Source organism: Homo sapiens, chromosome 8, assembly GCF_000001405.40.
Source record: "Homo sapiens chromosome 8, GRCh38.p14 Primary Assembly".
Taxonomy (NCBI): Eukaryota; Metazoa; Chordata; class Mammalia; order Primates; family Hominidae; genus Homo; species Homo sapiens.
The window spans coordinates 101,563,976-101,580,649 of record NC_000008.11 but is presented as its reverse complement, the minus strand read 5'-3'; the positions used below and the strand labels follow the sequence as shown (position 1 = coordinate 101,580,649).

General features: G+C 39.2%; 1 protein-coding gene across 4 annotated transcripts in view; it reads right to left on the bottom strand.

Moving 5' to 3' along the window:
- GRHL2 (grainyhead like transcription factor 2) overlaps positions 1-16,674 on the bottom strand; it is a 188,762-nt gene that overhangs the window by 100,551 nt on the left and 71,537 nt on the right. For all 4 annotated transcript variants that reach the window (NM_001440447.1, NM_001330593.2, NM_024915.4 and 1 more), the window contains exons 5-7: positions 10,256-10,311; positions 6,826-6,982; positions 3,131-3,242 (exon numbers count right to left, since the gene is read on the bottom strand). In NM_001440447.1, coding sequence (NP_001427376.1) covers positions 3,131-3,242; positions 6,826-6,982; positions 10,256-10,311 — 325 coding nt within the window. The remainder of the gene's footprint in view (positions 1-3,130; positions 3,243-6,825; positions 6,983-10,255; positions 10,312-16,674) is intronic.

The following is a 16,674-nucleotide window of genomic DNA, read 5'->3' as shown; positions in this document are numbered from 1 at the left end:
TATCCCACCTACATACCACTTATCACATGTGTGATCTTGCGTAAAATTCTTCCCTCTTAGCATCTTGGCTTTTAAACAAGAAAATGGGTTATTTTGGCCAGGCGCAGTGGCTCTCGCCTGTAATCCCAGCACTTTGGGAGGCCGAGGCAGGCAGATCACTTGAGGTCACCCTGGCTGGGAAGAGTGACGGGGAGGGAGGGATGAAGAGAGGTTGGTTAATGGGTACAAACACAGTTAGAGAGCAGGAATAAGTTCCAGCATTCAATAGCAGAGCTGAGTGATTAGAGTTAGCAATAATTTATTGCATATTTCAAAATAGCTAGAAGAGAAGATTTGAGATAATCTGAACACAAAGAAATGGTAAATGTTTGAGGCGATGGATATCCCAAATGCCCTGATTTGATCATTGCATATTGTATGCCTGTATCAAAATATCACAGGTACTCCATAAGTACATATAATTATTATGTATCAATTTAAAAAAAAGAACCCTTGCTTTAGCTAAGGGGCCCTCATCTCGGTCTCTAACTCCAGCCTCAGGGTCACTGCCTGGCTGACTTGGTTGAACCTGCAGATCATAGATGCTGGTGGAGATTTGGGAATTGAGACTTTTGAGCCCTGAGTTTAACCTCCAGTTTCACGGGGGTTTCAAAAAAGAAATGCATTAAATAATTCAGGATACTTTTTTATTTTTTAGGCCATTAGAATGTTCCTAACCAAAACTAGCAAATGTACGGCCCACGCACTCTCTGCCTTCCTTCACCCTCTGCAGGCACTGATAACCCTCCATGATAGTCCTAGTGGAGACAAAGAGTGACCTCAGAAACCTTCTCAATATCACACTCCAGAGTTAAAGCAGATGACGGTGCAACAGGCAGACATATGTGCCAGGACACCATCGGTGCTCCTTTATGTGGGAAATAGTGTTTACAACCCACTGGCAGAGAAATGCATGATTTGATTTTTTTAATCTAGCAGAAGAATGAATTGTATGAGATTTTTGCATATTTTCTCTCTCTATGTGAGCAGATGTCAGGTTGAGATTGGGGTAGAGACTGTGCTCAGAAAATTCATGTCTCATTGAAGCTAACTGATGGATTTAATGCCTTGTTCTCAGGTTGGAAGCAAGTAGCCCAGCTACCCATGAAGCTACTTAGTAAAGGTCACAAATCTCAGAGATAAAGCATGTGTGTGCCTATGGGGACACATGTGTATACAGAAAGAAAAGTCTGAAGGCAGGCAAGAGATGATAAAGAAGATAAGAAGATCTGAAGTTTTACAAGATCTGAGAAATCATTCTAGTCTCAGAAAAGTAAACCCTGTAACAATATCAAAGTTGGATCAACAGGTATGCCAGTAAAATGCTTTTATTATTTGCCTTATTTGGACCTACTCCATATTTCTCTTTAATTGCTCCTTTCATTTTCTTGGGTAATAATTATAAGGCTAACTTTTCAAATAAAATAAAATTGTTCCTCTGCTCTATGCAGATTTAACTAAACAGGTTAAGGCAAGTATCCCCAATCCCCGTCCTAGTCACCAGGTCTTGGTTTAGTTTATCAGCTCAGGTCAGGAACACAGATCTTATCCCGGCTCTTGCACTAATTATCTGAGGGGGAGTCATGTGATATGGGCCAGTGAGACTTCCTAGGCCTCAGTTTCCTTGTTTATTCGATAAATATGTTTGACTAGTTAATACAATAGGTGTATGTGTGTGATGCGGAGGTGAGGAGCGGCTTAACTATTTTGCAAGAAAAACCAGTAACTAGTTTCATTGTCTTCTACAGTGAGCCTCTCACCCTATCCTAGTCATTAAACTCTGCCAGTGTGGTCAAGAAGTCCTAGCCAGGGTGAAATGGAAGATCTGAAAAGTCCTCATTGCAATGTGTAAGAAATCAAAGTAATTGTCCTTTGCAAGGCTCAGTAATACCTTTTCATACCCAGCAGGATGGGAACCTTCACTTAGCCCACACTCATTTGGACTGAAGCATCTTAGTCAGCAAAATGGGGTAATGAAGTCTACAAATGAGAAATGACTTACTTCTTATGGAAACAGTGGTAAAATTATTTGGAAACACATACATTACTGTCTGTTTTTAAGTAATTTTTGGAAGCTTTAAGATCTATTCCCTGACTTCCCCTACTTTGCTCTGCATCTCAGAGGTTGATTCTGCAAACTGCACTTTCCACGGTAATGTGCCCTCTGACTCCGAGTTAAATTCTGCCGATGGGAGGCACTGGCAGGAGATCACGAGGCAGAGAGAAGCCAGGACAGTTCTTCTCCTCCCTCTTGGCACTGAGAATGTCTCTGGCAGCAATTCTGCTGTGCTTTCATCTCCCATTGGAAAACAGCTCTCTCTGTGGTCCCAGCTCCTGCTGGGTGGCTCCTCCAACACCCACCTCCTCCTCCCTTTGATTCTCCAGCCCTGCAGGTAATAGCTGGATTGTCTCATTGTGCCTTCAGCCTTTCCAACCTTGGCAATGAATTCATGCCCAGTGAATTATTGGGCATGAGTGTTGCCTTCCAGACTGGACCCCGAGTGATGTGCCATCCAGGGGGCTGCTGGTCTCTACAGAACGGACCTCAAGTTTAGGGGTACACAGACTCCTGGCAGATTCACTCCTTCTTTAAATGGTTCACTTGCGTGACCACCTAGCATTGCTTACACTAGGCATGTGTTGAAATGGAAAGAACACTGGACAGAGAACTAGAAACTTAATGTGTAGTCACATGACCTTTGCCAAATGGCTTTAGGGTCACACGAGCTTGAGTTTATTTATGTCACAGGGATAAGAGTTCATCTGACCTGCTGACTGCCTACTAGGCTCAAACGGGGAGGCCATGAAAACACGTTTTAGGAATTGAAATGGTCATTGCAAATCTAACTATATGACTATGATTTTATGAGACACAGTTGACTTTCATAGAATAGAAAACGCTTTGCTCTCGGCTTAGCCTGATTTTGGTTACTCAGTCTGATCTGCACTAAATGTCCTGACATAGACTAGTGCCGGGCACATCATAAGAGCTCTGTGGCTCCAGCTGTGATTACTACGCCAGGCTCCCCTTGGCATTGAGACAACATGTCAGTTTATCGAGGACTATACAGGGAAGTCAAGGTCAACTTACCAATGTCAAGGACCCTCTGCTTCGCCGTATGCTGCCGAGAGTGCCAGTATTTCCAGTATTTGAGCTGTTCATCTCTGTTTTTGTCTTCACTGAAGACCACCATCACCACACTCTGCAGAGGGGAGAATCGTGGAGCTTACTTTTTGTTCAGTGCCTCTGTTGCCTCAGTCTCCAGTTCTGGAAGTTCTACCAGAGGTGTGTTTGTGTCATGTTGCTTTTCTTGCTTTAGAAAAGCCCAGACAAGCTTGGCTGTATGGTCCGTTTTGTTATAAAATGGACCTACTTAAAAAATGAATTTGTCTTTCAAATTCATTTTGAAGCATGAAGGAAAAAAAAAAGAGTCCTACATCAGTTTTACCAGGAGGTTATAAACAACTGGATTAACCAATTAGCAGCAAATGTATTATTTTGTGAGGTCAGCAGAAACCCCCCCCAAATTTTTTTTTCTTGTATTGGAAACAAGCATTCTTTTGAAATTTCTACTCCTTAAACATAAAATGTGATGCCATTTGTAAAGAAGCAAACATCTGTTTGTGGTCTAATTAAGTGGCTCAGGCTGGAATATCAAAATTAATGAGAAAAATACTAAGGAAATGAGGAAAATGCTGAAAGACAAATTCATATTGGTGAACATAGATCTAAACTACAGATATTTCATACACTGAAAAACGCAAGAGCAACTATGATATCTATTTAAATCTAAAGTGGATGCACTTTAAAAATGAGCTTGAGAAACTAATTATATCTTGCAGAAATAAGAATTCAAAACTCTTTTCAGTTCTAAATTATAAACAGCCTCATTAAACTAAATACACATTAATTCACCGTCACTTATGAAATGGAGACAGTACCAAAAACAACCCTCTTCCAAAAAAAAACCCTTTAATTACAGTATCAGGAATACTCCTCCTCTCACTCCACATCCAAAACACTTCTTAGGCACTTTCCTACTATTCCTGAAAAATATTTCATGGACTCTCATTCCTTAAGAACTTCTTAGGGCTGGGCCGGGTGACTCATGCCTGTAATCCCAACACTTTGGGAAACTGAGGGGGGAAGATCTCTTGAGTCCAGGAATTCAAGACCAGCCTGGGGAACATAGTGAGACCCTATGTCTGCAAATAAAATAATAAAATAAAAAGCCAGGCATGGTGGTGCACGTCTGAAGTCCCAGCTACTTGGAAGGCTGAGACAGGAGGATCCGTTTGAGCTTGGGAGGTTGAGGCTTCAATGAGTAGTGATCATGCCACTGTACTCCAGCCTGGGTGACAGAGAGAGACCCTGTCTCAAAAACCAAAACCAAAACCAAAACAACTTTCTCCTTTGTAGCAGTTTACACATTAGTAGTCATTTACTTATTTACCATTATTCAGCCAATGGCAATGTCTTCCCAATTAACATCAAACTTAGCAAGGACAGAAACAGTGTCTGCCATTCACCCTGGCACCTGACGAATAACAGACAGCAAATACATGCCGGTGGCTGGCTGTCACTTTGAAATCTGGCTCTTGCCTAAAGTATGTGTAAACAATTTTTACACAAGAAAGCAGATGTTTGTTAGGAAAACTGTTTAGAAATATGTATCCATATCGTTTCGAATTCACAAGCAGTGAGATCTTCAGAGGCACTGGATACATGACAACAAAGAAAACCATTCTCTGTGCTGGTGCAACTACCAGCTCAGCCAGCTTTTCATTCTACCCTCTGCCACGCCTCAAACTTTTCCATTTATGTGTCAAAGTTTACTGCGTGGCTTCCTGGTATTTATTTGTCGCAAAATAAAAATAAAATTTAAAGTAATATTTTTTCTGGCAAGTGTCTAAATTAGCATAAATAATGGCATATTCTTGGTATGGAAATTCATTTCTTCAATGATAAAGGAAAACGCAGTTTGAAACTGTTGTTACCACGCCCTACATGCTTTGACTTGGAATGAAACACTGTTCTCAGAAATAAATGCTGATAGGTGACAAACACATTTCTCCTTCCTGCTCCAGAGCCGGGGAGTAAGAAAGAGCCACTCTGAGAGGCGCCAACTTAGTCTCCAAGGGTGGAGGTTGAAGTCCTTCCAAGAAAGGGGGGACTCTTCACTTTAGCCAAAATGGAACATAAAGAAATAAAATTTTCTTATTAAATTATTTTCATGATTTCAGCAAAGTAGAATTCTTGGGAAAGTCCCTGTACTCCAAACTGTTGTCATGACCTTAGAATACTAACCACCCACCATTTTTTCCAGGTTGATGATAATGATGTTAAGAGGGTGTATATGAGTTATACTAACACTTGGAATTTATAAGGCTTAAAAAAAAAAAAGCTAATTTATTCAGTGTCTTCTTACCAGATGCTCATATACAAGAGGGGGAGGATGTAATTTATAGGAAATATATCCAGAGAGAAATACATCCAGGCTAACATTTCCCTGCCTTCAGCCCTCCATGCTGCTCAACACAGCACAACCTCACAGTAAAGAGAGTTGGGTTCAGGAGTCCGACGCCCTGGGGTAGATCCTGGTTCCCTCACCTTTTAGCTATGTAACCTTGGCCGGTTACTAGTTTCTGAAACTTTATCACCAAGTTTCCTTATCTGTAATATCATAAAAACAGCAGTGCCTTTTTCATAGGATTGTTGTCAGTTTCAGTGAGTTACTAGACAGATGGCACCTAATACAATACCTGGCGCTTGAAGATAATAAATATAAATTGTTATTTTATGACTCTTGTTATTATTATTGTGATGGCATATTCTTCACCGCAGTCTTGACCACAGCATTAGAATTTACTAATTCTCCTGATGGGCACACAGCACACCAGCAGCTTTCTCACTGCAGTGAGCTCAGCCTTGCGTGGAACCTGCGCCCCACCTGCACTGGCGGCATGCCCGAGTTGTGGCGCTGTAGGCACACCATGTGCCCCCTTCTTAAGTGTTCTGAAGTGGTAGGAGGAGGGAGCTGTGACTAAAATAAGGTGGGCTGGGCATCATGGACCCAACACCATAAATCATTTTACAACAGATCAGGAAAGTCCTTCCACCTCTTTTCAGAGCTGTGCTATAATTTTCCTTTTCAGTAGAGAAGGATTACCGGGCCTCTCCCTTCTTGGCAGTAGCAAGTACGCCAGAAGCTGGCAGGCTTCCAGAGAAGGGAGAGCCAGTTTCATTTCCCACAAGTAGAAATAATACTCATGAATCTGAAAACTCCCCCAAGTGACTCCTGGTGGGGATCGTGCCTCATCTCTGGAACCCTGAGAAAGCCCTGGGCTGCAGAAGGCTTTGAAACCAAGTTCCACCAGGCCCAGGGATTCAGAGTGAACTGCATTTTCCTTTACAGAATAGAACAAAGCTCTTTCTCACCCACAGAGGGGTTCTGACTTACAGCTACTTACTTGAAAAATTAAGATCAATTGATTGAAAATAACAACAACGAGGAAGCACATAAGCAGTGAGTGAAGCGGGAAAATTCCTCGGATACAGTCAGACAGCATGTTCCAACCATGTCCCTTCCCTGGGGTTTACTGGTTACTGATTACAATGATCAACTACGAGCCAATAAGTGCTCTTGCCCCAACTCTCTGACATTCGTTCTAGAATTATTTATGTTGAAGGTTTTATTTTTTTTCCATGCCATTCCACAAGGCTGTGAGGTAGCCATTCCGTTCATCGGATTCCTTTGTACTTTATCTGAGAAATGTGGCCCCTACCCTGACTTTGCTGATGGGGTGTCGGAAGCATTTGTTGTCTCCGGTCTCGCTGAGTGTTATGGCATAGAACTGTCCTTTGTTGAGGTAGGTCATGGGGCCCTCCCCCTGCTTCTGACGGAGAGATTTGGTGGCTTCCAGGGTGTACTGAAATGTGCCACTGTGAAAGAAAACAAACAGCGGTCAGATCCACTCACTTGGACATTTCTGCTCTTTTGACCAATTTCACATCATAGCATTTCACATGAACATTAACCAATGTTTACTGTTTTAGAGACAAAACACAGCATATGGCAAAAGAGATGAGACCAGATCAAAGGTCATTGCTAGTACAATGTATACAACATTTCTAACAGTGGCCCATAAACCAGATGGTTTGGAAGGGGATAAAGTCCACGATGTGCCTGGCCAATTGTGCAAAAAACAGCTCTACCAGGAGAACCCCTGGTAGATCTTAGCTGGCAATTAGGTAATGCTTGAAGCTTAAGAATTAATAGAATTTGCCATTTTTACCCTAACAACAAAACAACTAAATAAATAATTTTGTTCAATTCATGTATATACCTAACCTTTTTTTTTTTTTTTTTGTCTAACCAAGGTGTTACAGATAGCTGTATCTTACTATAAAACATCTCAAAACATGAAAATCCAAAACTCAAACATTCACTTGAGAATCTAGTTCCCTAATAACAGGGAGTACTTTTTGTATTTTGCTTCTTGTTTTCAAGCCTGCGGAAGAACTCATGGCAGGGTTGTTCTAAATCAGGAGTTTGCAAATGATGGCCCATAGGCCAAATCCATCTCATTGCCTGTTTTTGTAAATAAAGGTTTATTGGAACACAGCTGCACTCATTTGTTTACATACTGTCTATGACTGCTTTCGTACTACAGCAGCAAGGTTGAGTCGTTGTGGTAGAGACGATAGCCTGCCAAACCTAAAATTCTTACTCTCTAGTTCATTTCAGAAAAAGTGTGCAGATCCCTGCTCTAAATAGTGTCCCTCACATTTTTTAAAAAACATGATATAATTTACAAAGGAAAAACACTGATTTTTCCCAACTTCGAAGAGTATATCAATTATTTAAAATAACACAACAGGTATGAACCACAATCATTTTTTGTTTAACACATTCATTCAGAAATATTTATTTCTGCTATACTGCAGGACGGCTCACAGTGACAATCCAATAACAAACACCACATATTTTCTAGATCATCAGAAACTCTCCATTGTGTTTATTTTTTTAGCTCTTTTATTTCATAGTCGTTGGAAGGCTGGGCACAAAGATGACTCAAACTTTATCTCTGAAAATGGCCTCCTGACAGGATTATGGGGGGCTCTTGCTTTCTATGTTAAATATTCCTGTAATGTTTTATTTATTTTTTAACTTTTATAATAAGAAAATCTGAAGGGCAGAATAATATTCCTGTTTTATGATAAAAAATCTTAGGCTTAAGCTAATAAACTAAGCAAATTCCAGAATATGTGTCTTAAAAGAAGTTGGGAAATAAATCATTCAAAACAGAACTGATTCCATTGTCATTTTGTCTGAAAAAGCAATTTCAACACAGTACCATTGAATCATAACATTTTAGACCTGGACAGGATATTAGGAATCACCTAGACCACTAGCTTGCGTCTTGTCTAGGGCACAGACTGCTTTGAAAACATGAAGAAAGCAGTGAATTTTCCTTCCCAGATAAAGGCACTTATGAACATAAACGATTTTTAATATAATTTCAGGGATTTGTGTCCATCAAGCCTGCCCATAACACAGGATAAAAACCCAAGATTCAGCCCACCTTCCTCATTTCACAGCTAAGGAGAGGCTAAGAGACATGCTCGCTCTGCTGGACCATGGCAGCAGCGGAAAGAGAAACGAGGTCAAGTCACTGGTAGGTCCTTGCTCTTCCCACTGGCCTGGCAGCTGCTGACATGGTGCTTTGGATTTACAGCACGCAAATTAGACTCCTATTCCCACATTTTAGAAGGCAATTTCAAGTCCATTCTTCCTTGCCTCCCGCTTCCTGCCCCCAGGAATTCTAAATAAGATGATCTGGGGAGGATGAGTGGGGAGCCTGAGATTGGAACCAGAGGACTTTAAGAGGAAACCAGGAGAATGGAAAAGGGCCATATGTGTAAAAGCAAAGGGGCAAGAAACATAGTGGGAGATGAGATTTTAAGTAAAGAGGGACCAAAACATAGAGGGCCCTGATGACCTTCATAAGGAATTTGAGTTCAATTCTGCCTGAAATGATAAAATCTTCAGTAAGTTTTGTAAATGGGGGAGATAAATTCATTTCTTGCCACTCTCTCACTCTTTTTTTTTTTTTTTTATGTAATGGGGTCTTACTATGTTGGCCAGGCTGGTCTTGAACTTCTGAGCTCAAGTGATCCTCCCACCTCGGCCTCCCAAAGTGCTGGATTACAGGCATGAGCCACCACGCCCAGCTGCCATTCTCTCCTGTCTTCAGACATGATCATAACCAAGGTCTTAAAACATGACTCTTTTACCTGGAATGTTCTTAATCTTCCTTCTTTCCTTAGAAAACACCTGCTATTAATCCTTCAAGATGCAGCTCAAATGCCACTTCCTGTGAATATTTGCCCTCAACCCCACACACCTTCCTACTCCCACACACATGTGCAGGCCTATAGGTCCATTTAGCTCTTTATATATCTCTGTAGCAGGACTCATCTCTTAGCAAATGTTTTTCAATTTGTCTGTCATCACATTTGTCTCCTCCAAAAGTGTGGACCTCTTGTAAGGAGAGATTATATCTTATCCCCAACCCTACTCACACTGCTGCACATGGAAGGCACCTGAGTGCATGATAGCTGGTAGCTGGCTATGTGCACAGTGGAATAAAAAAGAAGTGTTGGCAGGGAGATCCAATGTATTGCAATAGCTCAGGAGAAAGTTGACAAGGGTAACTTGGAAAGGAGATGACAGGTGGAACAGACAATTCAGCATTTAGCAAGTGCTGAGAAAGTCCAACAGGAAAGAAGCCAGATCCTTTACCTCTAGCTGGGGTGGCTTGGAGAATGGGTACATCATTAGCCACAATAGGAAATAAAAGCAGAACACCAGGTGTGAAACAAGTGGAAAAGGAGGGAAAGAAGAAAAAAGATGGGGCTTCATATTACACTTGTTGGGCTGGAAGCACATGAGTATGAGGTTCAGAGGAACACCTACAAAAGAATGTCTAGCCAACAGAAGGAAGAAAAGGGGTGTAGGTCCCAGAAAATTGTCCAAGACTGGAAATAATGATATAGAAGTCCTTTGTATAAAGAAAAAAGCACTGAGGCAAAGGAAATCACACTGTTCTGTACAAGTTTACAAAGAAAAAAGGTTTAAAGGTATAACTCGAAGGTACATTTAAAGGTTTATCAGTTAATCAGTTTCTAAGGATGCATCTCCTGGTAACTCACCTTGATGTCTGATCATACATGTACTCCTCAGCCCCAACTGAAGCACTCCGAAATTTCTGCAAAATATGAGTCATCGGAATTAAAACAAATAGGTAAGTCATTATGCAAAAATGATAATAATAAATGTATCCAAACTATTTTATTCTCTCATTAGAAAATAAAGTTATGTATTTGATATTATGTTTTCAACTACAGCAAAAGTAGTCATAGAACTCACCTATCACCTCCTCACTGAGAGCTACACTCAACAGAAAATACATTTGTGCTTTGTATGTTATTCACGTGTCTGCAGGTGTTCCTACAGAGTTTGAGGTACTGGAAGCTGTTTCCTCAAATAGATAATACATCTCTTCCATTTGCTATTGTCTCCAACACTTATTCCAAATGTCATAAATTCTGAAGTAACAGAACACGAATTACACAGAGGTCATATAGCGCAGCAAAAAGCAATACAGTAGAATGGTTAAGAACATAGTTTCTGAAGCAAGATTGTATAGGGTCAAGTTCTAGCTCTTTTACCTGTTACCTATATAAAATGAGGCAAATGCTATATTTTCTTCATCTATAAAATTTCTATTTATAATAATTAGAAGAATTAAATAAGTTTTAAAAAGTACTAAGAATAGGCTGGGCATGGTGGCTCATGCCTGTAATCCCGCACTTTGGGAGGCCAAGGCAGGAGGATTGCTTGAAGCCAGGAGTTTCAGACCAGCCTGGACAATAAAGCAAGACCTGTCTTGACTAAAAATAAAATAAAATTAGCTTTGTGTGGTGGCTCATCCCTGTAGTCCCAGCTACCCAGAAAGTTGAGGCGGAAGCATCGCTTGAGCCCAAGAGTTCAAGGCTGCAGTGAGCTACGATCACGTCACTTCAGATCAGCCTGAGCGACAGGCTGGAGTGCCTATTAAGACCCTATTTTCTTAAAAAAGTGAAGTTACTAAGAATAGAGCCTGGTACATAGTGAGCACTATGTACATGTATAAATACTATTATAAAGTAATAATTTGACCCTATTCAGTGCCCTTCTCTAAGGATCTTCATTATCACAATATTGTTAAGAGTAGGTTTTCTGGGGAAACTAAGTTTAGTATTACACACAAAGAAGCTTGGGTCTCAAGATGTTCAATTGTATGTACAGTGCATATAGGATGTGCTTTGCTGCATCTTAGAACCTTTTCAAAAGTAGACGACCAAAAGCCCTAATTCTTGATCGGAAGCGAATATTGTAGAATACTGATGAAAAAGCATTTCATTGACCACGTATCTTGTTTTTTCACTATGACCATTTTTCAAGTGTCTCTTCCTAAGAGATAACCTTCCTGCCTCTCATTTCTGTGCAATAAACTTACATTCTTTGACCAGCATTTCAAGGGTTTCCTTCTAAAGGAAAAATGTTACCACAGCTATTTTCCAAACTTCCTCACAACTCCTAACCATCATCTCTGGAACTCAGCATACCTTATATCACAGTTTCCATACATATTTATGATCCTTCTTTTTATCCAATCTTACTTCTTGAATTCAAGAAGATTATCTTCCCTTCAAATTTTACCCACATGAATCCCAGGAACATTGCCCAAATAATTGTTGGCTGAATAAATAATCATGACAGAGAATCAAAGGTACAGATTTGTGTTTCTTTTGCAATAAATTAGGTAATCAGCAAAGCATTCAATGGGAATTTTCTGGGGCTTCACAATCTGCTTTGGTGCCAGAAGAAACACAAAATTATATATAACACTGCCCTGGCCTCAGAGAGATAAAAATTGGTTGAGGGGATGGAATAAATTCACATTAAAAAAAAAAAACTAAAATACAGAAAATGGCTATATATGAAAGTCTATGTTGAATCATTCATTCTTTCATGTGTCTTGACTGGAAAAGCATGGACTGGGCATTACCAGGAAAGGAAGATCAGCAAAATTATAGGGGGATTTCATAGAGCTGGTGAGCTTCGCTCTGACCCTTGGAAGTCAAAGACAGCCTGGATTAACTGAAGGAACTGAGAGAAAGTAACCCAAGCAAGGGAGGGCCACCATGAGTCAAGACAAAAACGATGAGTACAAATGTGGTGCATACATGAGGCCAAGGACACAGGCCTTGCCTGGTTATTTAGCAGGGACTTGAAAATGTAGGTCCTGCTGCCCAATATGATAGCCCCTAGCTCCATGTGCTATTTAAATTTAAGTGGATTAGACTGAAATAAATTTAAACATCTGATTCCTCAGTCAACTAGCCACATTTCAAGTACTACATTAACACATTGGCTAGTGACTAACATTGGATAGTATTAAAAAAAATTTCCATCATTGCAGAAAGCTCTACTGGACAGGCTGATTTAGGAAAATGTATTTACATTTAATATGGTCAGGAATTAGAAAATTTTGGAGTAGGAGGGTAATATGATGAAAAAACTATTGGAGACACAGATGCATTTCCAAAGTGTTTGCTTGAAGGAATATGCAGTAATCCATAAAAACCAGGTGAATCAGCATTAGTAAACATGGCAAGAATGAATTACCATCCATGCCATAGATTTCTGCAGCCTGAGGATAGGCTAACCTCCTAAAGCATATTGGACTTGTAAATTCTGTGGTTCTAATCCCCCAGATGGCATGAGAAGGTATGATACTACAAATCTTCAGACTCAGAAAGACTCAACTACATTCTGGCTGAAATACAGAATCCCACTTCAATGCATGAATGCATGAGGACAAGAACTGTGAAGAAATAAACATTTTTCACAGTTCCATGTTATAGTAGTGGTGACTACTGTAGTTACCATGTTACAAACATAGATATTACTTTTCATTAAGCTTAAAATTTTTTCTTCAATTCTGTTACATTATCTTTATAATTTTAAAAGAATTAAATGGATAGTGTACCTAGAAAACATCACCATCCTTTAGATGAGACCTGATTACATTGATGGGTTACATGGCTGTAAGTAAATTAGTATTAGGAATTAGAATCAAAATGCTCAGGTCATTCTGGCTACAGTTATCAAGTTTCCACAGTTGCTCGGAGACCTATTAATATAATTTGTAGGATGCCAAAAGGCAGTCAGACAGCCAACATCACTGTAGTTTACTGTGATTTGATACAGTGCATCTGTAAATTTGAACTCAGAAAAATGATAGTAAAGAAGGTATGCTAACATATACTTGATAGATTACTCTTAAAGGACCTTAGACATTAGGCAATAGTAAACATATTTAAATCTCAAATATTGGAATTCTGTTCTTTCTCTTGGGTTGCAAAGACAAGATATCTGGTAAGAATATGTCTCAAAAAGACAATGATTCTTTAACTGTAGGGAAATCATAAATTGCTAAACCATTTCTTGTCTTTGATTAGCCACAATTTTTTAGGTCCCATCATTTACCCATTCACTCTTTCAATAAATATTTATTGAACATTTACTTTATATCAGGCACTGTGCTCAGTGCTACAGACACAGTGGTGAACAAAAGGAGAATAGGTCCCTGCTCTCATGAAGCTTCTGGTAAAGTAGGAAAAAACGCTAATCAAATATTTTAAAAACTACAAACTGTGTGCAGGCATTCTGAAGAAGAGCAAAAGTTCTATATGAGCTCATCAAATTCACTGCTATGAGAAAGGGAAAATTGGCATCACTGGCAGTCAACCTTAATGTTCCTAACAGAGTGCAATGTTTCCAGAGAAACATGGATAAGGTTGTATGGGGGAGGATCATAAGTTAGACTTGGGATAAGTAAAAAAAATCAATCGGGCAGTTAGATATAATAAATATAATTATATTAATTATAATAATATATATAATAATATTATTATATTTATATTATTATAGTTATAACATAAATATTATTACATTATAATAAATATTAGTTCAGAAGAGAGGACCGGGCTGGAGAGTAAAATTGGAAGGTCTTTTGGACACAGATGATAACTGAAGCTGTGGACATGAAGCCAAGAGCATTTGCAAGAGGGAGGAGTGATCAACAGTGTCAAATGGTGCTGCAAAGTTAAATAACAGCTTTAACAGAACTGGGACATTCATAGACATTCTGTGCATGAGGTGAGTAAATGCCATGTTAATATAAATAATGAGTGATCTAGTCTTATCAACTTTGACTACATATAGATTTAAATCCTCCTAAGGTATAAAATGTGTATCCCAGAGAATTTCTAAAATTTTACTTGGTGCTAAAACACATTAACAAAGTGACAGAAATTTGGTGTTACCATAGCCACTGCATCATATGTTTAAGATAAACATAATAAAACTGTGTGCATTAATCCAAAGTGAGGCCATGTTCCAATGTAGTAGATGAATCAACATTTTTGAGATTTTGTCCTTTAAATGTGTGGAGGATAATGGACTACCAGCTGTCAATCAATTAAGTTGGATAGGGTTTAGATCCAGGATCACTTCCAGTTTCAGACTAGATGAATATAAAATCAATGGACTAATGATCATACATCTATCCAGATAATGACAAATAGTCATTACTTGCTTTCATTTCAAGATGCTCTGCAAACTATGTTAATTCTACAAATAACATGCCTGGAGTTGAGTTATGAAATACACAGTAGAGCTGTCCGATGTTCACTTATAAATAGTTCTTCTCAATTCCTGAGCACATGGGAGGACTAATGGGAGAATTAAACTTCTCGGCCCTCTTGCAGTTATGTTGATCAGGTGGCTAGTTCTAGCCAACAAAATGTGAGATGGTGCAGTTGCGCCACTTCCAGGTCAACTAGTCAATATGACTAAAGTCAGTAAAGTATGACTTTACAAGTCAGTATGCCATCTCCATGGCCTCCCTTCCTCTGCTGGGGAGACACTAGAAACCACACATAGAGATGATAATGTCACAAGATGCAGGGACCCTGGATTCCTGAGTCACTAATTGGAAGAGAACTGTACAGACATGCATCAGTGTTTTATTAGCAAGAAATAATATTTTATTGTATTAAATCACTGAGATCTTGATGTTGCTTTGTTCCTAAACCAGAAACTATTGTTAACTGACTTATAGAAAACTGTAGTACAGAATAAACAAATTCTTCCTTCCATTTTGATTTATTATGATTATATATCTATATGATTTTTGATAAAAATCCTTCCATCTTTTAATTTTTAAATGTTTCTTAAAATATTTTTGGTCTTAAATACCACTCCATTGTATATTTATCAACTATACTCTTTGCTTATTAGTGGCATGATCTTTGGTTTGTTTCTTAACCTCTCTGAACCTCTGTCTCTTCATCTGTAAAATGGAAAAAATAATGCACCTTCCTTGCAGGATGACAGTAAGGATAAGAAGTAAAATGAGTAAGCCATGGTGCCTGGCACAGAGTAGAACTCAATAAATGGCATCTAGCATTATTTCCCTTCACACATACAGACAGATTGTAAGCTTCTAGAAGGCAGAAACCAGTATGCATTTTGCCCTAAGCTTCCACATCACCACAGTGCCTAATACCCAGTATAAATCAACACATATTTGCCAAATGTTATTACAAAGAGGATGTGGAATAAAATATAGATCAAATTAGCTAAAATTCATCCATTAAAGTGGTTTTTTTTTTTTTTTTTTGGAGACAGGGCCTTGCTCTGTCACCCAAGTTGGAGTGCAGTGGCATGATCATAGCTTCCTGCAGCCTGAACTTCCTGGACTGAAGCAATCCTCCCGCCTCAGCCTCCCAAGCAGCTCGGACTACAGGTGCATGCCACCACACCTAGCTAATTTTTTTATTTTGTATTTTTGTAGAGACAGGGTCTCACTATGTTGCCCAGGCTAGTCTTGAACTCATGGGCTCAAATGATCCTCCCGCCTCTGCCTCCCAAAGTGCTGGGATTACAGGCACAAGCCACCACTCCCAGTCTAAAGCACTTTTTAATGCTACCACTGTCTTTTCAAAAATCCCAGCCTGAGTTAAAGCAAACTACTCCCTTCCCTGCTACCACTGTGCACACATGCACGTGCACATACACACAGAAGAATTGGTCTCAAATGGCAAAATAAATTTGATTATTCAACCCGGGTTCTAGATATTTTAATAGTTTGCCTAGAATAAGTGAGTTTAGACAAATTTTCCTTAATGAAATTTTCTTGGTGAAATTACTCTGAAATCACTTAATCTTATAACTAGTTGACAATGAAATAGCTAAAGATCATAGTAGGATATTCAATTTAATTTACACCAGGCTGAAATACAACATGCCATGTAAACACTGATTTCCAAGACAAGGACAGCAGCTCAACCAAAATCAGTGGGAATAGTCTTTATATTTCGTTTCTGGTAAGTTTCTTTACTTTCTCATCTACTTCAAAATAAAGCCCAAAATACAATAGCTTCCTTTCACAAGCCTCTTTATCTACAATACAAACAACAAACATAACTGATAACACATCCCCCAAATAGCATGATGA